Source organism: Homo sapiens, chromosome X (genome assembly GCF_000001405.40).
Source record: "Homo sapiens chromosome X, GRCh38.p14 Primary Assembly".
NCBI lineage: Eukaryota > Metazoa > Chordata > Mammalia > Primates > Hominidae > Homo > Homo sapiens.
In genome coordinates this window covers 32,288,380-32,313,655 of record NC_000023.11, presented here as the reverse complement: position 1 = coordinate 32,313,655, position 25,276 = coordinate 32,288,380, and the positions used below count along the sequence as shown (strand labels likewise).

General features: G+C 35.6%; 1 protein-coding gene across 17 annotated transcripts in view; it reads left to right on the top strand.

The window, feature by feature from the left end:
- DMD (dystrophin) overlaps positions 1-25,276 on the top strand; it is a 2,220,167-nt gene that overhangs the window by 1,025,733 nt on the left and 1,169,158 nt on the right. For all 17 annotated transcript variants that reach the window (XM_006724469.4, NM_000109.4, XM_011545467.2 and 14 more), the window contains 1 exon segment: positions 3,380-3,574. In XM_006724469.4, the coding sequence (XP_006724532.1) occupies positions 3,380-3,574 (195 nt within the window).

Here is a 25,276-nt window from a genome sequence, read left to right as displayed (position 1 = left end):
ATGGGGTTTTCTAAATATACAATCATGTCATCTGCAAACAGAGATAATTTGACTTCCTCTCTTCCTATTTGAATATCTTTCTTTCTTTCTCTTGCCTGATTGCCCTGGCCAGGACTTCCAATACTATGTTGAATAGGAGTGGTGAGAGAGGGCATCCTTGTCTTGTGCCAGTTTTCAAAGGGAATGCTTCTAGCTTTTGCCCATTCAGTATGATACTGGCTGTGGGTTTGTCATAAATAGCTCTTAATATTTTGAGATTTGTCCCATCAATAACTAGTTTATTGAGTGTTTTTAACATGAAAGGGTGTTGAATTTATCCAAGACCTTTTCTGCATCTATTGAGATAATCATGTGGTTTTTTTGGTCATTGGTTCTGTTTATGTGATGGGTTACATTTATTGATTTGCGTATGTTGAACCAGCTTTGCATCCCAGGGATGAAGCCTACTTGATTGTGATGGATATGCTTTTTAATGTGCTACTGGATTTGGTTTGCCAGTATTTTATTGAGGATTTTCTTTTTTGTTGTGTCTTTGCCAGGTTTTGGTATCAGGATGCTGCTGGCCTCATAAAAAGAGTTAGGGAAGAATTTATTTTCTTTTGTATTGCTTGGAATAGTTTTAGAGGGAATGGTACCAGCTCCTCTTTGTATCTCTGGTAGAATTCAGCTGTGAATCCGTCTGGTCCTGGGCTTTTTTTTTTTTTTTTTTTTTTGGTTCGTAGGCTATTACTGCCTCAATTTCAGAACTTGTTATTGGTCTATTCAGGGATTCAACTTCTTCCTGGTTTAGTCTTGGGAGGGTGTATGTGTCCAGGAATTTATCCATTTTTTCTAGATTTTCTAGTTTATTTGCGTAGAGGTGTTGATAGTATTCTCTGATGGTAGTTTGTATTTCTGTGGGATCGGTGGTGATATCCCCTTTATCATTTTTTATTGTGCCTCTTTGATTCTTTTCTCTTTTCTTCTTTATTAGTCTGGCTAGTGGTCTATCTATTTTGTTAATCTTTTCAAAAGACCAGCTCCTGGATTCATTGGCAAATCTCATTTTTATTTAACGTTCCTTTCTGCAAATACCAAAATAGTCAAAATTTGGGTTTGAAATTTCATTTAAGGAAGTTAAATACAAGTTAGCAGACAAAAGTGAGTATATTTTGAGTGTCTTTTTCTTCATTATATTTGACCATACAGCTAAGTTTCTTGCTGGCTATAATCCACAATTACTATATTTATTAAGCACCAATATGAATTTAAGATAGCTGAGAGCATCTCAAATGAAAGTAATGAAGACTGAGAAAACTACATATCAAAGAAGAATCAGAAAATAGATAAAAACATCTTAGAATTATTTTTCTTTTAAGAAAAAGTGATGAGGACATGCATCAAAACTTTTCTGAATTCCCACTGCTTTTGTTAAGGCCACCCAGATTTTTTTCTAAATATTTTCAAGATATGTCCAATTCTGAAACAACTCCCTTGATTAAACAACAAAACAAATTAATAAATAAATGAAAAACTACAACTTGTCTTCTACTTACTCTGTTCCTGATAACAAAAACCTTTGTTTTCCAAAAACTTACAGGTGTAAAATGTATCATTAAAGGCAGATTTAATTGCACCATTAAATAAGTATTATAAGAAATACGCTTGCTTTAGATGATGTGAAGCTATCTTTACTGCAGGGGTTATAGCAACTAACGTGAATAAGAAAGACGAGCTTATTAACTTGTAAATTTTATTAAGAACAACATAATGGTCACCAACCAATGTAATGCGTGCAAAACACAAGCTTGTGTTACTTGTGCTATTGATTCTACTGTTTAATGTGTCAGTGAAAATTTCACATTCAAATAGCCTGCTGAGTTATTTTTCTTTTAAATGTGTAAAATGCTTATGATGAAATAGTGAAATTAAGAATTTCTTAAGAAATCTGTTAAATTCTGAATTTTATTTATCAAACTCTGGCTCAAGTTTCTAATATCCTTTTAAATGTAAATGAGAAATATATATACATTATTCCATTGAACATGAAGGAATGTGTGCCATGGATTTGGCCCAGATATACACAATAAAACAAATGTTGTAAAAGGTATAATTATTTAATAGCTAATTTGTGCAATTCTGTGAATTTGCTATATCACAAGTAGATGAGATATCTAAATTAGAATTACTTCATTTTTTATATCATGTAAGAATTGAGTATGAAAATCCTAGGTCAGAGAAATTAAAAACAAAACATAAAGTGACCAGCTTGTAAATTTTACTCCTCTTTGTGTGGGGTTCAGTCTAGTATCCCCAAAGTCCAATGTATTACATTACTGCAAAAATAAGTATGGTGTTGTCATAAAAGGCTGTGCAGTAATAAATGGCTACGTTAGCATGCTTATCGTTTGTACTTCCCCAGAGACCCTACCACTGAAACCCTCAGGTGACCTCATCAACAGGCAGGTGGCAGTTGATCAATTCTAGACAAAGTTATTGGGAGAATAATTTCAATTACAAGAATTTTGCTGCCTATAGTGTAGACAGAAGAGAGCACAGGTCATCCATCTTTCTGAATTTGCCTGCCAAGTAGTATTTATTTTTTGCTCTTATAAAGAATAGGGAAAGATGTATTACTGGGAAACTCCAAAAGGACTCTGGAGCTGGAAATTCTCATCATGTCTAGCACTTGGATCCCAGTCAGAAAAGTGTAGGTGCAAGAGAAGAGGCTAGTGCTCCCTTATATATCAGGACATTCTGGAGTTCTTTTTAAAATATAAATTCCGCAGTCAGTTCTGCTCATATAGCAGCTTCATTAGCAGCTTAACTTAGCAAGAGACTAGCAACAAAAACAGGAGCTAATGTCTAGAATTTGGAGGAGAAGAGGGCTTAATACAAAGTTACATACCAGCCTAACTACTTCGTATCTGTTGTATCTCAGTGAACTTTCCTATAGATACAGGAAAGTTGCCTGTGTTAGGAATAAAACAGATATGAGTCCCCCTCACCCAATCCCATATCTAGATTTCCAGGAAAATTAGAATTTTAAATGCCAGTTGCAAATTAGAATTAGAAATTTAAATGCCGGTTGCAAAAATCGTCTTTTTCTTAGGATAAAACTACTCTCCTTATGACCTCATGGTCTTTCGTCTTATATTTATGGTGCTAATATGTGTGTGTCACTTATTATGAAATGCTTTTAACACTTTCTGGAAAAAGTAGGTATATAATTAATAAATCACCGTTTTACTAGACTTACCATCGTGAGGTTTTGAATCCATTTTCAGCCCAGTTTGTAGATTCAATTGTCAGCTGTAGAATGAGACCTATATAAACTTAATGGAGGAGGTTTCACTGTTAGGAAGCTAAAAAAAATTGTTCTTTTGTATATCTATACCAGCACACTGTCCGTGAAGAAACGATGATGGTGATGACTGAAGACATGCCTTTGGAAATTTCTTATGTGCCTTCTACTTATTTGACTGAAATCACTCATGTCTCACAAGCCCTATTAGAAGTGGAACAACTTCTCAATGCTCCTGACCTCTGTGCTAAGGACTTTGAAGATCTCTTTAAGCAAGAGGAGTCTCTGAAGGTAAAACCAAAGCACTTTCATTCGTATTTTACAAGGTGATCATACTGATCATTCATAGTGCCAGAACAATTGACTTAAATTGTATGCATCATGATGGCATTTTGACTTTCACATGGAATTCTTAAAAATACTTGATAGTGTGGTTGGCTTCAGAAATCTAGGGTAGAAAGACATAAGTTAGAAAATGTATTTTACAATATTTAGCTTTGAGAGACATCCTAAAATGAAGAAATGCACAAAAATGATCATTTTTACATGCAGTAGGGACAGAAAGGAACCACCAGTAAATAAACTTTGATGGAAGAACAGTTTATTCCTAGTTAATGGATGACTTCTGTTTCATTTTCCAAAAAGGGAAATTAGATTTTTCATTTATATGTAATGTATATTGTTTTTGTTTTATATTTTTTATGTATACATATTCAATTTCAAATTAATGTCAATACCTGTGCTATAACATATGGAATAAAATTGAATAGAAATCAATAAAATATTTTCTTTATAACTGCCAGTTAAAGGCTACCAACAAAATCCAGCTGTTTTCAAACCACCAACAGCAAGTTACTAAATTCTCAAGTAAGGCAAATAATGATGATGAAATAGGCTATGAATTTCAGAAGGCAGTGTCTGAAGATAAATGAATGTAGGATCAAGAAAATGCACATAATAATGTGTCTCCAGATAATTTTCATGATCGTACATTTTACACTCAAAATGAAATATTATAGTATACCCAGAGCTTGGTATTTTCAAATGCAAACAGTATGTGATTATAGGCAAAAGATGGGTTTGCTATCAGCAGCACATATTAGCTAAAGTATTTTATACTCAAATGGTTTCCTGGAAGCTCATTCTATATCACACATTTGCCTGTATGAATATACAAATGGATAAAGCTATTTGTTTGTTTTGGAAATCGGTGTTGCAGTATCTTCAGTGACTTGACTTTAATATCTTAACATTATATCAAATAAGCTATAAAATTACACAGTAAAATAAGAGCTTCACAGATCTCTGGAACTATTCCATCCATGTCAGTGTGGCACTGTTTCTTATTCTGTTTGAAGTAAAAGTCAAATCACTTATTGGTACAATGAAGAAAAGAAACCTAATCAGTTAATAAAATAAAGCTGACATGCCAGAATTCCTGTCATTATTTCTATTAACTAAGTTCTCATGGCAGCATAGTTTGTAAGTGCATCATTGTCATTCAATAAGTAAATTATTGCCAATGAGCTAATATCCATTCCTTCCCAGGTTCATGGACATTTGGTTCAGGAGAGTAGTGACCCTGATCTTATTAAGTTGCCCATTGAATAACTCTGTCTCCATACCTCTTAGCCTGGCATACTCAGAATGTTAGACCCTTGGCTACACTCACAGTGAATCATTTGTTCATCCTGATCTATTTAATATTATTATAGCTGATGTCAATCGTAATAGTATTGATTACTGCGGTTTATAATATGGTATTATTGTAGATTTAATTTAGCTAAATGGTTGAATCCCCATAAGATACAGTTGTGGGCATGATTCCTTCTGTCTCCCAACAAATCTCCAGCAGGTGAATGGGCTTCCTACCTTCATTGACTTTTTTGAAGGGGGATAGTTTTGAGCTCAGTCTTTTCAGTGAATATGTATTTCCTGTTAAAGGCATTCATCATTGTCATTATCCAGTAGTAAAAATGGAAAAGCAGTGCATAAATTGTACAGCTGCTGGTTGGGAAGGTTTGAAATTGTGGTTGATTTTATTCCTGACAGATATGCATGAATCAAATTACAGAACTATAGTAAGTATTGCTGTGCTTTAACATACATCTTTTTTGAAAGTGCAGTACAACACAAATAATATGTAATATGTTAAAAGAATTACTTTCTAAACAAAATACAACTAAAATAGCACGTATGGTTTCAATAGATGTATTGAATTGGAAAGCTACCTAATCATGTTGACAGAGACTATGCAGATAAACACAAACATATATATATACGTATATATATATACATATGTGGAAATCTGCATTTAATAGCAAAAACACTAGCTAAGGCAGAGCTAGAGAAGAATGAGAAACATACACATAAGTAATATTTTCTTTCTTACTTCAGAGCCAATATTAACAGTTAATTGATTGTGATTGCTTATATGTACAAAGTTAATAATACTCATAACAGACAAGAGTACATAATTTTAGAAGAATTGCAATTTTTTGGAAGTTTAGAGCAATATTAACTTGCATTTCATTTTTAAGAAAAAATCATTTTCATGATAAAATTTTCCAAAATATAATTACTGTGTTAAACCGTCAAATCCTGCCTTAAAGTATCTCATATGAAAGCATGAACACAGAATTTCTTAGCATCGTAAGTTTTAAATTACCAAAAGGTTTTCTCTGGAGAGAGTTAAATATTTGAAAGCTTATCCTAAAAGCAGAAATGATCCACTTAAAAGACTTAACTGAAAGGATTTATCATCATGTGTCCATATGCCTAATTTTACTGAAAGCATCAGTTTTATTGGAGGATGAAACACTCTTGGGATGTCACCCATATCATTTCCTGACTCAGCATGCCTTGTACTCTGACTGGTAGCTGCCAGATCCAAGTGTCTCTGACTGTTTGCCTTAGGGCTCTCTCTAGTAATCAAAGCTCATGAGTGTCAGGTAGTTAAAGTTCTGCATCCCCCGTGTTCCCCAGCAAACCTCAACCAATAACAAATAACTTTTGGTGGATAAATACCACTACTCACTCATTCTTCAGTTAGGGTAACTCTGAAGCATGATTTATGCTCTGACCCAAAATTCTGTTCCAGGATTAAGACCCCATCGCACACAGTAAAAACCTGCCTCATAGGATACATTTCACTTGCTCCCTGTCCTACCTTACACACACTTTACTAGCACCTCCTTGGATCATTCCCAAAGACATCCCTTGTCTTCGAATCTGCTTATAGGGGAACTCTATCTAGGACATTTTTGAAATAAATAATGACATATTTACTGTGTAGTTAGCATTTACGTAGAGAAATTCTTAGAAATAGTTCATGCCTTTGGAGTGGAATTCTTCAAGTGATTCTGCTGCTCCCTCATTCAGGGAATCCTTAGCTGTTCAATTAGGCCTTGGTATCAATAAATGTGAATTTTTAGGACAAAAATAAGAACATAGCTTATAATAAGAATGACAACTATGCTTTACCTTTTGCAATAATGAGAATCAATTTACAGCTAATATTATTCTTTATGGTAGAGCAGAATGTCTTCACCTGAAGAACATGAACAAGACAAGGATATCTGCCCACATCCCTTCAATATTCCACATTGCACTGGAGTTTCAAATCACTGAAAGGAGGAGGAAGGAAGGGAGGAAGTAAGGAAGAAAGAGAGTGAGGGAAGGAGGGAGGGAGAATTGAAGAAAAGAAATAAAATAAGGAGAGAAACAAGGAGGAAATAAATGGAAGGAAAGAAAAAATATCAGGCACACATCATTTCAGTTGTCTCATCAAAACCAATTATAGTACAGATGCCTTGTTTGGAATGAATAAAATGTGCTATACTTTGGGTAACCAAGAGGGTGATGAAAAACGTGGCCATATGAAGAAAGCTCACGGGTAGGAGACATGGTGGTCCTAATGTAGATTTTAAATAGGATCAAGAAATAGAGACAACCCTTGTTCAAGTTCGAGACCACAAGGGAAAGCTGGTAGTGAGCTTATAAGCCAAAGATAGTGTGAAGCCAGGTCGTTCAAGTCCTCTTGAGTTCAGGTTTTTTGCATTGCTCTTGAGAAACAAAAAATTGTTAGGACAAGTAAACCTAAGGAATGTGGATTCGTATATTCCAAAAATAGTTATTAAGCTCTTAGTATGTACCACACACTATTCTAAGTGCTTATAAAACAGTGAAAAAGACTAACGAATCTTTGCCCTCATTCAGCTTTTATTATAACATTGGGAGACAGAATAGAAGCAAGCAAACAAAGAAAAATGATAAGTAAATATTGCGTATTACTAGGTGATACGTATTTTGGGAAAAAAAAAAAAACCAGAATCTGTTAAGGGGATATAGGACCACTACAGGGGTAGACGTAGGTATAATTGAAAGTGGCGGAATTGCCATTTCAAATAGGGTAGAAATGACCTTTGAGCAAAGATTGGAAGAAGGTAAGGGAGTCAGCCATGGAGTCTGTGTAGAGGAAATAGAGTAGAGGCCCAAATGTGGGACTGAGCTTATCTTAATCAAGCACCAACAAGAAGGCCAAAGTGGCTGAAGCAAAACAAGCCAGTGGAAGGGTAGAAAGAGATGAGGATATGGGAGTTGTGAGTGTCCAGATTGTGGAGGGCCTTTGGGGCCATTGTAAAGAAGATTCTAAATGAGATGAGAGCAATTGTAAGTTTCTGAGCAGTTGAGTGGCATGATCTCAATCATGTTTTAAAAGGATCACACTGGCTTCTGGGTTGAGAGTAGAACTGTAGGGGACCAATAATAGAATCAACAAGAGTTGAAAAAGAGATGCTGGTGGCTTGGACTTGGTCGGTAGTGAGAGAATGTCAGATTCTGGAAATATTTTGAAATTAGAGATAGCAGATATATTTCTCTGGTCATACAGAAACTTAAGCATGTGTCTATGAAAACCCATTCTCGGCCGACTTGGGGCTGAGTTAGAACTTTGGTCTCGTAAAACCTAGCAGAAGATCCCTTGAGAGATGTATGATTTCTTCTCATATTTTAGTCTTCGATTCTTCAGTCTTGCCTTGAAGTAGGGACAAAAGTACTGGCAACAGAGATTTTTAATACACTGGTTAAGATCTTTCTCCTCTGGAATCTGTTTCACAGCTCTTAAGCACAAATTTAATAATCCCAATTAGTTAAATGAAGGCAAAATTATGCCATGAGCAAAGTGACTGCTTTTCTATTCTGGTATTAGGAGAATTAGATAATAGCAAGAGGCACCATATGTAGAAATCCAAACAAAATATCTGAAGGAAAATAAAAGAACGATTGTTTATATGCGTATTGTAATACAGGGGCATATTACATTGTTTATATGCATATTGTAATACAGGGGTATTTAATAATATTGGAATAAGAGGACATTGCAATTACTCTAAATAATCATGGATCATATAAAATTTCAAAGCAAAATTTGTTTGCAAATGCTTTTTGAATTCGAGTTGAATTTTCTAATAGTTTAATAGTTCTAACAGTTTAATGCGTGGAAAAGATGATTTTTATTAATACATTGTGACTTTGTAGAAACTGATCTTTTGAACTATACATAAACATTTGCAATAATGTGATCAGTGGTTTCTCTTAGAAAAATTGAGTTTTTCAACACATTTATTTGGTTATAAATATAATTTGTTTCTTCAACAGCTTATATGACTTGGGATTTATTTGATTGATTTGCTATATATAAATGTGTGTATTTTCAAATATTAATCATTAACTGTAGTTTAAATCATGCTTAAATTATTTCCATAGTACATTATTTTTCATTTGTATTATATGAAAAGATTTGTACTATAGAGAAGAGATTATAGATATTTACTGCCTTTCAGTCATGCCCAGCTCATATTTATATGTGCTTCGGTACAGTTTTCTTTTATATTTTATACAAATCTCTCTTGTAGGAAATTATCCATTCTTTATCCCCAACCATTATTTTATCAAGCCTAGCAGTTGTCCTACCTTGACTATTATGCTGCAATTTACTCCCAACTCTGCTAAAATGTACTTTAAGAACGCACTCCTACTCCTTCCATTCTCCCAGCAGCACTGTTTTCATAATCCCCATCGTGTAAAGTGTAGAAAGCAGAAACTTCCATATTAAAACTTACAAATCATGAGGCTGGTAGAAATTTTGAAGTTGCAGTTAAGTTGTGGGGAGGTTTTCCTTTTATTCACAAACGGTTGAAGCTGTGCTTCGACCAGTTATAATGTCGTTTTTTATGTGTGATATATAATTACTGATTCGTTATTTATGCAAAGACAATGCATCATCCTATGAAGAATATTTTGGTCCAAATACGTAGCTGTGTTTAGAAAGTGTTTTCTCACATGGGGACAATAAACCATGAAGAAAAAATTAAAAGGTCACCTTACCATAGAGCCACCAAAAATAACTTTTTAACTTTTTTTGGAAGCTCCGTAAAACCTAGTTAATAAGTACTTTAATGCCTTTTGATTGAACACAGTTCCCAATTCGATATGTCATTAATGTAGTGCCTGGTAGCTGGATGGGATGTGAAGAGTGTAAGAATTAGATTTATATAGGGTGTTGCCTTTATCTGTCAGATAAAGACAAATTCCAGAGAGTGAAAATGAACTGGAGTTTGAGTCTTTGGTTCTCTTATTTCTCTTTTTCCATTTTAAGATAGATCTACTCCCCAACGGCCGCTGTCACAACAGTTACTAATGGGTTTTTCTAATCCTTTTTTCTTAGAAATGAAAGTTATGTGCTCCTCTGTTAACCAAGTTACAAAGTGTCTCAAGGCATTTCTGATACCTAAAACTGCTTAAAGCTATTATTTTCACCTTCCCAAAATATGACGACAATAGTGCCTAGAGTTTTATAAGTCTATAAACACTATACATGCATTTAAGTATATGTATAACCCATGTAACTGCAGTGCTACATTTTTCAAGAAGGTGATACATACACACAGCCACCAGGAAGAAAAATTAGTATCTTGTTTGTTGTTTTTTTCCTCCACCACTGTATCTAGAACTCCTAGAACAGCACCTAGCACTTAAAGGTACTGAATGTACATCTGTTGAATTAGTGAGTGATGGTCTGATACATGTAGGTGTGGACTCTGAGATAGAAGAAGACAGGGCAGTGTTAGTAAGCGCTGGTACTAAAAGAGAAAACCAAATTTACTTCTTTTTATATTGTATCCTAACTCACTGAGTTAAATCATCTAGACATGTGCATTCTACAAATCTATATGCATATAAGCATGAAGAAATTGTTCTAGGTTTGTATATACTGAATCTAAAACAATCATTTATGAAAATGTGTGACAGGGAACCCACATATAATTAAAACATTACTAACATTTTTCCACATCAGTGAGCTTTCATTATGTGGTTATGATAAGCAGTAGAGTAGAGAGTTTAGCAAAGTACTGTATTGGAACCTGAAAAGCTTAGAAAGATTTAACCTGATTGTTGATAGTTGTACCCTTGGGCAAGTAACATAAGATATTTAGGCCTGTTTTTTAACGTTGAAATTAAATCAGTGATAATAACTGCCCCTGCCTACTCAACTGTACTCTTGTGAAGATACAGTGAAATCATGTACGACTGTGTAGGAAAATTCCTGTTAAAATGTATAATTATATAAATTTCAAGATTTGTAAAATGCATATTGCTTCATCAAACATCCCAAATTCTAAGAAAGTTATAAATTTCCACGTAAAGTATCCTAAAAACAAATTACCTTTAAGAATGTGTTAAACATTATAAAATTGCATATTTATATCTTAAAAAACTGTAAATAAAATGTTAACCACATAAAATATACGTAAAGTTATTTCCAGATGTGGCAAATATTCTAAAGCTAAAAAAACTTTAAAATAAGAGAATACATACAAGCTAAGCCACGTTTGCTTTTGACAAAATCTTCCTTAGAGGATCTTACAAACTTTTGATCATATTCTTCTATTGTACAGAATGTTCCTTGACTTGTGATGGGGTTATATCCAGATAAACCCATTGTAAGTTGAGAATTTTGTATGCGGAAATGCATTCAATACACTTAACCCACCAAATATCATGGTTTAGCCTAGCTTACCTTAAACATGCTCTGAACACCTATGTTAACCTACAGTTGCGCAAAGTCATAGAACACAAGACCTATTTTATAGTAAAGTGTTGAATATCTCATTCAATTTAGTGAATACTATACTGAAGTATGGTTTCGAATGAATGTATATCACTTTCTCACCACCCTAAAGTTGAAAAATCACTAAGTAGAAACATTATAAGACGGGGGCCATGTGTATTTCCGAGGCTAGTTGTTACTTATTCAGGAGTAATTTTTTTATTCTTCTATTTATTTAAGGTATAAAACAAATAACTCACTTTATTGTATATTTATCTTGAGGTGCAGAAATGCAACTCTAAATTATTCCAAGATTCTGTGTACCATAACTTTTACCAAGAAGAGGATGCTGTTTTCTAGCTTGGTTTTAATTGTTGTTTTATTTTGGGCTTTAGTTTCTTTATGAAATGTGTTGATTTATTTTTTCCATTTCTAGTTCAGTAACTTAAAACCCATTGTTCTAATTGTGAGTTCAGAACCATGACAAAAATTATTGAAAAATATTGAAACTCTAAGCAAAGAATGATTTAATCAGTAGTGTTTTTTTCTCTTTTTTGCTTTGGAGTCTTGAAATTTGCTTTTGTTGTTTATTTTTTGTTGTCTTTCCTTTGCCATTTAAAAAAGTTAGTTTGTATTTATTTTCTCCTGGTTAAATTTGTAACCATGAACATATTAAAATTATAATGCTATTCCATTGAACCTTATGAATTGTCAAGTCTTTCAAAAGGTTTAAATATTGGCAATATCTTATAGTTTAATACAATGACTTGTACCCAAGTCTGCTTATTTCTGAATATTAATATATATCATTAAACATCCTGATGGAAAAAAAACAAGAACTTTCTGTTGTAAATCACGTATGATTAACAGACACCAATTCCCAAATTTAATTTGCCAAACCACAGGCAAAAATTAAATAGTGTTATCAGTAAGGAAATCTATGGAGCTTCCAAAAAGGTAAACATTGAGTAGAGTGTTAGCTTCCTGCTCCCATATCATGCCTTTTGTTTATTTCTTTTCTTTCTTTTTTTTTTTTTTTTAGATGTATGCATTTGGGTACAGAACAATTGTATGAAAGAGCGATTTTGCTTTTCTGTCCCCTGTGTAAAACAATATGATGGAAAGCACATTTCCCCAACATCAGAAGTATTAGTTATATATAAAACGGGCATAATATTACCAAATATGTTTTCTGTTTTACCAAAATAGTTTACTGTCATCAATATTAATTTTTGCAGGTTTGATTATATTTTATCATGTATGGTAGCTACCTATGAAGTTGCTTAATCATTTATACTAAATTTTCATTTATCAAAATAATAAGATGCTCATGATTGCATATGTAAATAGAATTAAAAAGTATAACATGAATTTTAAAAAAGCATATTCCATTCATTGGTGATCATCAGTTTTTGAGGTTTTCTTGGATTGTTGTATTGCTTTGGAATTTTTCCTCCATAAAACCTACCTGGCCCTCCTCTGCTGAGTCACACAACACTAAAGCGTATCCTGACTCTAAGAAATTTGGGATCATAGAATGCCATATATTTTGAACTAAGAGAAAAGTACTTACTTCTATAAAACCCCCTTTGCCATGCATGTGAGTCAATTTTTCTATTTGGATTTTCTGTAAAATGATTTAGGCGATGTGTACAACTTAACACAAAATGTACGTATCATAAAAGGACTGGTAAAATTGTTTTCAATTTACTTAGTGCTGATGGACTAGAATCATTTTATCTGAGAAACACTTGGATCAGTAAAGTGCAGGGTTTTTTTTGTTGTTCTTTTTGTTCTTGTTGATGCTCTGTGGCATCTGGAGAAATGGGCAGGTGTAATTCTGAATAAAGGACTTTTTTCTTAGATATCTAATGTGCTGTGAGGAAACCATAAGGAAACTCAGCCAGGAAATGCATGTGGACTTCTATTCCACTGTTCAACAGCTAATGTCTTGTAAAAGTAAAGTAGAATAAACAAGGAATTACCTGAATAGCTCACGTCTGACCATACCTGAATATCTATCTACAATGGTTGAACAGAGTAACAAATCTTAGAGGTTCAATGATTGAATTCAAATTGGATTTTCATAAGCAAGTTCAACTCAACTTTTTACTTCAAGTCAACAGATATTTATTAATGCTACAAGTGCTATGCTTAACATTCTAAAAGATAAGAAAGAAATATTAAGGAATAATCCTTGTACTCTGGTAGTTGATAACATTATTGAATATACATATTATAGTTATACAAACAAGTTAGAGAGTAATAAAGACATTAAGGACATCATCCAAGCAAAAATATATAAGACATGAGTGTAACTGAAATCATGAAAAGAAGAAAGCAGCACAAAAAGCAGAAACTAGGAGGAATTTTATAGAGGAGGAATCCTTAGCTTGAGGTGTGAATATAACTGGAATCTGGACTAATCTTGAATGTAATAGCTGACAGTTATTATTTTTGTGCCAGGACACATTCTAAACACTTAGAGTAACTTGTATGGTCATCATAACAGCCCTACAAGGAAGGCTGTATTATTATACCCATACTCAGATGGAGAAACGGAGGTCCTGAGCAGTTAAGTGACTTGCTCAGGTGAGATCATTTTTAAATATCATAGTTGAAGTCCCACTCTGGATGTTCAAGCTCCAGAGTTTCTGCTCTTAAGCACTACGCTATACAGTTTCTTGATGCAGAAAATGTTTTCAAAGTTAAAGATACAAAGTCAGTAAGGGTAAAAAAAAAAAAAATTGTATCAGAAGGATGTGTCTGAAGAATAACAAAGAGATTAATCCTTCACTTTGTTATTCACTTTGATTATCCTTTCAAGTGTCTCTGCTGGCAAAGCACTAGGAAATCAAGTTGGATAAAAACTGTGAATCCAGTTTTTTCTTTTTTTTCCTGGAAAAAAAGATGGGCTAAAAGATGGGCTTGAAAGTGTCCAAAAAGCTATATGTCATCATGGATGGATTTTGGTCAGGGATAATCCTTAAAATGGCAGGATAAATTGGACACAAGGAAAAATAAAGAGATAAAACAATAAGTAAGGAGATATTTGTGTTCAGCATAGCTGGACCGATTTATAAACCATACCCTTGATTCAGTAGCTGTACCAGGACTCTCATTATTAAAGTTCACTCAGGAGATGCCCAACATCCTAGATCACCCATTTTCCTGTGTTAGTGCAAAATGTGGACTGGATTTCCCGATACATATTTCTATCTAGTTAAATAAATACTCTGATTGGTTAAGGAAAGGTTTTCTGGAAGGTGTATATAATCCCACCATGGCAACAGAACCAAGAGTCTCTGACTGTCTACCAACCTGTAGACTTGAATTTTTTCCCTGTACTTTCTTCTAGCTTCTTCGATTTCTGTTATCCCCAAAACACCTTGATGTAGCCTTAAGCAGAATCAACCATCAAAGGGCTAACTCCCTCCTCCTGCTGGGTGCCTTCTCTGTTGGGCCCCAGCAGCAGTGAATCTATGCTCCCAACTTGACATTTTTCTTATCCCCTTTCCCACCTCCCCTAAATAAAATTCCTTTGTGTCAAAGTTTGATTTAAGTGATAGAAATGGCTAAGATTGTCTACAGGGTTGGGTTTGGAAGAAAAGAGGTCTGGAAAGGGAATATAGCAAAACATCAGTATTTTCTGAGCAAGTTTGGAAGAGATTAAAAATTACCCCTAGTGACTCTCAAATTTATATCTCTAGTCAAGATTCCTCTCCTGAATCATGACATATATATATATGCCTTTTATATATTCACTTAGAAGTATAATAAACATCTTAAATTTAGCATGTTAAAATCTTACACCCTAACCTTATCCTCCTGCAGTTTTCTACACTATAGTTAATGGCAACTCCATTATTCCACTTGTCTGTGCCAAAATTCTTCATGTTATCCTTAAGGCCTTTCTCTACCAACACACATGTAATTGGCCACCAAATCCTAAGGATTCTGCCTTTACAATGTATCCGGAATTCAACCCTGCCTCCACTCTGATCCAAAGCACCATCATCTCCAGCATGGATGATTGCAGTTGTCTATTAACAAGTTTCCCCCTCATTGCCTTCTCCCCTGTAGACTCTACTGTCAATATACTAGCCAGAGATACCTATTTAAATGGAAAGTCAGATTATATCCCCCTTTCTGCTTCTGTTCAAAACCCCCAATGCTCCCCATCCCCCTCAAAGTAAACAGGGAAGTCCTTATGTTCATAAGTACCTTCATGGGTTACCCACCCCATTCTCTGATATTTCTCTGGTAGTCGCTAGCTCATACACTCCAGCCATAATCACTTCCTCCATGTTCCTTGGCCACTCCTCCAGGCACATTCCAGTGTCAGGGCCCTTATACTTGCTTTACCTGTCTGGAATATTATTCTCATGATTTTTCTTTCAATGGTTAATTTCTGCATTTCCTTCAGATCTTTACTTAAAAACTGCCTTCCTGGTAAGGTCTTCCCCGACCCCTCTTACCTAAAATTCTGACCCCCACTTTATCCTTCATTTCTTCCTTCCCTGCTTTAGTTTTGCTCCTCAGCACTTAACCACTATCTAACTGAGTATATAGTTTAGTCATTTCTCTATTTGTTTACTTTATTCTCCTGTAGAAGGTGAGATTCCAGAGAGCGGGGCTTTTGCTTTCTGGATCACTAGTATATACCCAAGATATAATATATGACTGTCTCAGGCTGGGCGCGGTGGCTCACGCCTGTAATCCCAGCACTTTGGGAGGCCAAGGCGGGTGACCACAGGGTCAGGAGTTCAATACCAGCCTGGCCAACGTAATGGAACCCGATCTCTACTAAAAATACAAAAAATTAGCCGGGCATGGTGGCGGGCGCCTGTAATCCCAGCTACTCGGGAGGCTGAGGCAGGAGAATTGCTTGAACCTGGGAGGTGGAGGTTGCAGTGAACAGAGATTGCGCCACTGCATTCCAGCCTGGGTGACAGAGTGAGACTCTGTCTCCAAAATAAATAAATAAATAATAAATAAATAAATAAATAAATAAATAAATAAATAAAATATGACTGTCTCATGGTAGGTTTTTTCAACAAATATTTCTTGAGTTAATGAATGAATACAGCGATGTAGCTGTCAGACACAGAGAGAGAAACCTAGAAGATAGTATTACTAGTTAAAACTAGTGTGGCTAGGTCTGTATGATGAAAACTGTGCCTAACTGTACTGAATCCTGCCAAGGAGGGAAAGATGAAATGGGGAAGCTATTACTAAGTGAGTGAATAGGAATTTCCTTCAGGAAATAAATATGGTTAAAAATGTGAATTATAAGTGCTTCCAGCTGTCTGCTAATGTTAGTCCTTCAGAGAAATGAAAACTGAGAAACCATTAGAAAGCAATTTTATCACTTCTTTTAAAAAATAAAGTTCAATATATTTCAAACCAGAATATCATCGAAATACTGAAGTCATTTTCAGGGGAAAATGCCCTGAAACAACAATTTCATATTATCTTATATTTTAACTTATGCTTTTATACATTTGAAATTTTATTTCATTTGAAGACTTTTTTCTAATTGAAATTTTTGACTGAGAGAACACTCACAACTTCTGATGTAAAATTTTATTACTGAGGAAAAACTGTTAAACAGAAGACAAATTAGCCAATTAATGTTTGTATATACATCCCACAGTGGACATATTATTTAAAATCTTGGAAAGAGTTGTAGATTTGTGAAGGTATATGTGAGCTTATTTCTAGGTATGAAATAAGGGAGCAAAGACACTTGTAAATTATAGACATCCTTATTTAGTAATTGGATGTTGAAGATGAAGAAATGGCTGAATTGAATGACCACAGAGACGGGACAGAGGAAGTGATGTTTGTTTGTTTGTTTAATTGTTTATTGAGACAGAGTTTCACTCTTGTTGCCCAGGCTGGAGTGCGGTGGCACAGTCTCGGCTCACTGCAACCTCCGCTTCCTGGGGTCAAGTGATTCTCCTACCTTAGCCTCCCAAGTAGCTGGGATTACAGGCGCCCACCGCCACACCTGGTGAATGTTTGTATTTTTAGTAGAGACAGGGTTTCACATGTTGGTCAGGCTGGTCTCGAACTCCTGTCCTAAAGTGATCCACCTACCTCGGCCTCCCAAAGTGCTGGGATTACAGGCGTGAGCCACCGCGCCCGGCTGCTATTTTAAATAATAGAACTTTGGCACTTTTCACAGTATTCGGGAAGCAACGAGCTTTGCTATAGGTACAAAAATATATTTAAAACTTCAGTAAATTATTTTAAGTTTACTTTCATCAAAAGTGATTAACAGTAAGTTCAATTTGTCAGATATTACTCTCCCCTACTCTAGTTCTCTTCAGGTTCTGCAATATCTACTTTGACATTTATACACATAAGTTTACCATTTAGATGGTAAAGGCAGGCTCTGCAATGAAAATCTTTGACAGCAAGGGAGTAGTTGTCACTTTACATTAAATGGAAGAAAAACTAAACAGTAGAAGTCTATCCCTTATGATAAAGAATGGAGCATAGTTAAGGGTTGCTTCATACCTTTATCTTAAACTGATTAGTTGGCAAATAGGTCCCTTGTTTGTTTCCTAGATAAATTTTCTGTATTCTCTGGCTTCTCCTTTTATCCTGTTAAAGACACATACTCCACAACACTTGAATAAACAAAGCATTTTTATGTTCAAATTATTTCTGTATGTGTCTCCTTTAAAAACCAATTATCTTCTTAAGGGAGAGACTCACATTTTAAAGTCTTTATTTTCATATCTCACATTTGAGGCTGATATTATGTCTGTATTATCAATAAACACTTATTTAAACAATAAGCTTTTCAAACAGATAAATGAATTGAAGCCACATGGCTTATAGATTTCTGCTTTTCCTTACTTTAGGTATCTGGATTTCATCTGCCGGTTGTAAAAGTTACTGTGCTATCTAATTTTTCTCTATTCACAGTGCATAATCAGGGTCTTCTTTAACTTATTGGAGACTGTGAATCAGAGATGCAAATATCCTATTTTAAAATATTAAGGACTCGAGTTGTATAAATTCGTGTACAGATGCCTTTCAGAAATTAAAATTCCATTTGTATGTATATTTAGAATTTCCTTTTGCAGAAAGAGTGGCCAAAAATAAACATCTTACAGAATTTCAGCGGAATAGTGAAGTGGTCAATTCATAGGGGCATGTCAAAATTAAGAAGGGATTTGACTAAAAAGTTGGTACTTTATCATTTTGACATCATATTTTCAGATAAGATAAGGAACTATTCAGGGAGAGAAATAGAAATGCTATATTCTATAGTGATTCTAGGGATGTTTATATCGCCATAGCAACTACAAGGGACTATGGCTTCCTTTTTAGAGGGTCAGAAACTATAAAGATCACTTATTTCTAGACAAACTAAAATAGTAAAATACTATCAGAGATCTCATCTCTGACTTTAAACTATGGAAAGTGCTACAGCATTTTCTTTGGTGCACATACCATTTTTCTGTGTGCAGTGCCTTGAGGACACGAATATGTGCAGGGACTTTAAAAAGGATGTATTTCCTGGACTCCAGCCAATTTTGACAGCATTCTCTGAGAATGCACCAAGGAGCTATTATCTAGATATCCAGGGAGTGTGACATCCCCTGCCCCAGTTTTTGCTTTTTGCTTTTCTCCTTTAAGATAGAAAGTTTTCCCGCGTTAGTAACATGCTGTACAGCATTGCTAAAACCGTTCATAACTTGATGCTGAGCAATGCTACAGCATTCCAAAGAATTGGTAGCTCCCCAGAGACTCAGATTAAAATCAGGAAGCTTTGCAAGCTCAAATCCTCAGAGAGTATACATACACACACATACGCACAAACACACGCATACCATATCAAAGCCATAACTGGATAACTTTTATATGCTGATGGGGAAGATCCTTTATCTCTTCCCTTGAATGTTTTTCTCCATGGGTGCTTACAGCTATGCATTTAAAGGGTTTGGGCCTGCTATGTACTAACAAATGTGATTGGTTGCCCAATGTGAATTTAAGTAATCAGCCTTTCATTCAGCTGGAGTCTTGGTATCAGGTGGAGGACTTGGCAGAGTTATGTATCTTTGCCATTGGACTGGCAGCCAAGCAAGAATGATGGAGACAGTGACTTAAAAGAATTCAGAGTTGAATCAAGTACTTGTGAAATCAGGCTGCCCAGGTCAGGCAAGTTAACAGAAGCAGCCAAGAAGATATGTTGGTGCACGTTTCTGGTACCTGACCTAATCAGGCTAGCGGAGTAGCCCTAAACATTCCACCCAAGACTCCAGGCTTGGAGCCATCAGAAGATGGTAGTAAAATTCTACCAGGTAAATAAAAGTAAAGAAATAATACTAGAGATACGCTTGAGTTCAATGGCTTTTAGGGCATTAATAACAGGTATTACATCCATTGTATCTCTTTTATTATAATTTCAAGTGTATTTTAGATTCAGGAATACATGTGCAGGTTTGTTACATGGATATATTGTTTGATGCTGAGATTTGGGATATGAATGACCCCATCACCCAGGCAGTGAGCATAGTATCCAACAGTTTCTGTTTTATTATGAGTTTTGTTTTTATCAATATGAAACTTTTCTTCAATAAGCAAGCCTCTGATGTCAAATACAGCATACTGCAATGTCGTACAAAGCTATTTTCTATTTTATAGTGAAAGATGATGACAGCAAAAGACAGTCTGGTCTGCCTACATTTATGTTTTCCACTTCCAACATGCTGTTGTTGCTCTCGATAAGATCACCAATGACCTCCTAAATTGCCCGAGCTGACTTTTCCCTCCTGGTCCTGGCTGCATCTGACTTGTTGACAACTCCCTCCCTCCTTCTGGTTCTCTTCCTGGGTCTGATGACTATTATTCTTTAGGGATACTCATCTCCTTCCTCTGCCCATGCTTTCCACATAGGTTCATCTTTATGCTACCTTTCTTCTCACTCTTTTCACCCTAAACACCTTTCCTGAGCAATCTGACCATCCCTAGTCTTATTCAACATCACACACATTCCAATGACTATCAATTCTCTATGTGAAATTGCTAAAAGACAGTTTTAACCTGCATTCCTCCAGATAAGTAAATTCTCAGATTGTTTCTGTGTTGGCTTGTTCTTTCTTTTGTATGGTAATACCTGACCTGTCAGATAAGTACTTTTTCCACAGAGTTAAATTGAGGTGCGAAACAAAAGAAATAATGAAAGCTTTCCATCACAAGGTGTACATAGACTGGAAGAGAATGCCTTGAAATTTTATTTTAAAAACACCTTCTTTCTCTGAAATTCACTCACATCACCCATAACCATTGTATCTTATCCTGTTGCTGAGCTGATAAATAAGACACGAGAACACAGTTGCTTTTTATAAGGTTCCCATTGTAAGCATTGACTTTTACCTTTTACAACTGACATTATCTGTAGTCTCACCTGCCTCTTCAGCTTAGTTCTTGCTCAAGGCAAGTCCTCGTGGACCACAAACGTGAAATCTTAGAATAAGGCAGAAAATCCTCTAAGTTTTATTGTTAACTTCTTTCCTGTTTCCCTCTCTGATTGTGAAGTTTTCTTCAGAGCCCGTCATCTGGAAAGCTGTACGATCAGCAGCAGTCACTCCCTATCTAACACAGTCTCCAACTTACAAATGATTAAAATGCTTCCCAATTTTGACTGAAAATAGGCAAGAATATTCCCTTTGTTTTGGGAGGCTGAGGCGGGTGGATCACGAGGTCAGGAGATCGAGACCATCCTGGCTAACACGGTGAAACCCCGTCTCTACTAAAGATACAAAAAATTAGCCAGGCGTGGTGGTGGGCGCCTATAGTCCCAGCTACTCGGGAGGAGGCTGAGGCAAGAGAATGGTGTAAGTAAACCCGGGAGGCGGAGCTTGCAGTGAGCCTAGATCAGACCACTGCACTCCAGCCTGGGTGACAGAGCTAGACTCCATCTCAAAAAAAAAAAAAAAAGAATATTCCCTTTGTTGATATTTGTTAAAATTTATATTTATCTAGTCAGGAAACATAAGATCTCTGGATGAGAGAATACATCATTAATTACTCAAAAGCATCTCAGGGCAAGATGTTTATCTGTGAGTGCAGGGGTTGTAGTACAGGAGAGAAATCCCAGAATTGTGGATCTTGGAGATTATATAGAGCACCTGATGTATCAGGAGGAGAGAAAGTGAGAGAGACAGACATACAGGAAGACAGAGACTTTGCTCTGGGCTATAAACCAATGATCTAGGTCTATTATTTTTGGAATATAAGTTGAAATGTAATCAAAGGGCTCTTGGAGATAAAAGTTTTTAAATCTCTCCAGAGCAATGCACTAAACTCCAAGGTACGCTTGCCATTCAGTCACCCTTTAAGACAGTTACTACAACTCTTTGCTCAGAAAGCCTAGTCCATGTATCCAAATGTGAAAATATGTATGGCTCAGCAATCCCTGCCATCTTACTCCTCTTCTCAAAATCTGATTTCAACTGCCTCTGGAACATCTACAGTTTGATGCCTCAAAGGCTTTTCAGAATGACCATGTCCAAAATTGAACTGATCACTTATGCACACATACACAAGCATGTAACCATGGAACCTCTTCATCTGTCTGAAATCCTGTTACCCAATGACACCACAAATCATGTGGATGCCCAGGCCAGATACCTAAGACTCATTCAAGTTCTTCCTCTTCTTCACCCAACACACAGTCACTGAATTCTGCTGAGCTGTTTTCCTAAACTTCCTTCCCACTTCAGCTCAAATGTGAATAGCAACTAGATACTTGATTCAATTAATGAACTTTTGTTAAGACTGTAGGTGTGTTAATGGTATTATATATGTACTTTCCGAAAAAAGTTCTCATGAGAGAATATTTCAGCAAGAGAAAAATGCTGAAGTATTTATGGAGAAAATAATATATCAGTTTGTTTCAGAATAATCTAGTTGAAGAGGTGAGTGGGTGGATTGTCCATGGAGTCATAACAGTTGGCACTGGATTATAGGGTTATGGGAGCTATTTGTATTATTTTCCTACTTTCAAATATATTTGAAATCTTACATAATGATAACTTTTTAAAAATCATAGTTCCCCATTAGCTACTGAAGTACAGGCAGAATTTTCTGTTGAGATTCAAAGCACATTATTGAACATCCTCAGCCTCTGTTTCATGCCCCATCTTCCCCTAAGCTTCTATGTTACTGAAAAGGCAGCCAAATATGACTGCGCTTGTTACCTAGCTTTGCGTGTGTGTTACCTACTAGCTCTAATGTTCTTCCCACTTCTACTACTCAGATATGTCTACTGCAATTTGCACCTTCTTCGTGAATTCTTTCCTGAGCCTATGACCAAATATATGATACATGTTTTCTCTAACTTCTAGAAAATGTTTGGTACCACTTGGAACACTCATTTCTTCCTTCTTCTCATCCAGCTAAGGCTTCTATACTTGGATTTTTTTCTTCAATTCTTCAAACCATATCCTTTCTTACTACTACAATAAAACCTACTTAAAACTTCTTAAAGGCAAACTAAACTGTGTTTCACCCACCTTTGTTTCTGCTATATTGCTCCTTACACATGGGAAGAACTCAATAAATTTTGCTCAGTGGACCTTATGTATAATTTAGATGATCAAAATAACAAAATTCGTACTAGGAAGAATAGCCAGAATGTAGTTTTTAGCAAATTTATTGAGAATAAATATGTTTAGATTTTTCTTTCTTCCCGTATAACCCATTTGTGGTTTGTGATTTTTCCGTTAAATAGAATATAAACAAAACATTATGGATTAAATTTATGGGACCATCTATTCATTTATTCAACAAAAAAGCTTTTGCCATCTATCATGTGCCAAGCACAGGTTTGAGCTTTGGAAGCCCAACAGATAACAACATCCCTGTAGTCATAGATTTCAAATTAGTGGTATATACCGGCTACTTGATATATATTTTAATGTTAGTAATAAGTACTATAAAGAAAAGGGAAGAGTAATGCCAGGAATAAAGAGTGATTGCTGGTGCTATTTAAAATAGAGTAGTAGAGAAGGCCCCTTTAACGTGAGAAAGAAGTAAGGGAACCACTGATAGAAATGTGGGTTAGGAAAACTATTTTTGGCAGGTAGAACAGCAAGGGCAGAAATCTTGAAGCAAGAATGTAGTTGTTATACTCAAGTAATGCAATAAACCTAATGAGGGTGAAGTGTTGTGGACTATGAAGAGACTGGGAAGAGATGAGCTTGGAATGGTAGGTAGTATACAACCAAGTCATGTAGAGATTTATAGGTCATAGTGAAGATTATGCTTTTTTAAAAAAAGTAAAAGCAAGTTTATTAAGAAAGTAAAGGAATAAAGAATGGCCACTCCGTAGGCAGTGCAGTGGCATGGGCTGCTTGACTCAGGATACTTGTAGTTATTTCTTGATTATATGCTAAACAAGGGGTGGATTATTCATGAGTTTTCTGGGAAAAGGAGTCAGCAATTCCTAGAACTGAGGGTTTCTCCCATTTTAGACCATATTGGGTAACTTCTTGACATTGCCATGCATTTGTAACCTGTCATGGCACTGCTAGGAGTGTCTTTTAGCCTGCTAATGCATTATAATTAGTGTATAATGAGCAGTGAGAAGGACCAGAGGTCACTTTTTTCACCAGCTTGGTTTTGGTGGGTTTTGACTAGCTTATTTACAGCAACCTGCTTTATCAGCAAGGTCTTTGTGACCCGTATCTTGTTCTGGCCTCTTATCTCATCCTGTGACTAAGAATGCCCAACCTCCTGGGAATGCAGCCCAGTAGGTCTCAGCCTTATTTTACCCAGCCCCTATTCAAGATGGAGTTGTTCTAGTTCGAACGCCTCTGACATATTTCCCCTCTTTCTTTTACAAGGGAACCCTTAATCCTAAGGGTAGTAGAGTTACCCTTAGGATTAAGTAGTAGAAGGGTAATACATCTTCTGTAACTTCTTCAGGCTGAATATGGGTGATGATATTTCTGCCTAACTATTAGGGTCTCTTGTATTCAGGGTAGAGAGGAGCTCAGTCAGCAAGCATCAGCTTGGTGAGGGCCATTCATAACTGATAAATGGTGATATCTGGAAGATTAGTAAGTTTTCAATCTAAGAAAACATTGAGTAAGCTTATTCTGCATTCCTATACAAAAAGTAAAACAGCAAATATATTCCACAACAGTAAAACACAATAAGTAAAATTATCCCAAGTAAACTAAATTAGAAGGCTTTCCGTGAACTGGGCAGCTGTTGGAACCAAAGTGATGTGGGGCTGCTAGCTGATTCCAATACATGCCCAGAATTAGAATACTGATCCAGGTTTTTATATTACCCATCCTTCTTGTTTCTTCTGAGGTGCAGTCAGAGATCACTGGCAGGTTCACAGGAATAAGCAGGATCAGTCTATATTGCAGGAAAAAACTCAAAAACAGCTGACGAGACTAATAACAGGTGTACCATAGTTCTTAAAACATAATTTTTTTCTCTCTCCAGTCTCCCATTTTTACTAAAGATGGATCATCATAGGACTGATTTGCTTTATTATACTTGGCCTGATTATTTGTATAAAGTGTTGCAAGAATAATTATTTTTCATGTAGGCTTTTGAAATTGGCTGTGATTGAACTCTGTGATGAAGAGCCACCAGAAGATTTTGAGCAGAGGAGTGATATGATCCCAATTATGTTTTAAAAGAATCTTTTCGGCTCTTGTGTGGAGAATTATCCAGTAGGGGGGAAAGAGCGGAAGCAAGAGGACCATTTAGATAGGTAGTTCTATAACCCAGATGAGAGACAATAATAGCTTCTATCAGATCTGTAGCAAGAAAGGTAGTGAGAAGCAGTCAAATTCTGCATATGTCCTGAAAGTCAAGCCAAAACATTTGCCCAATAATTT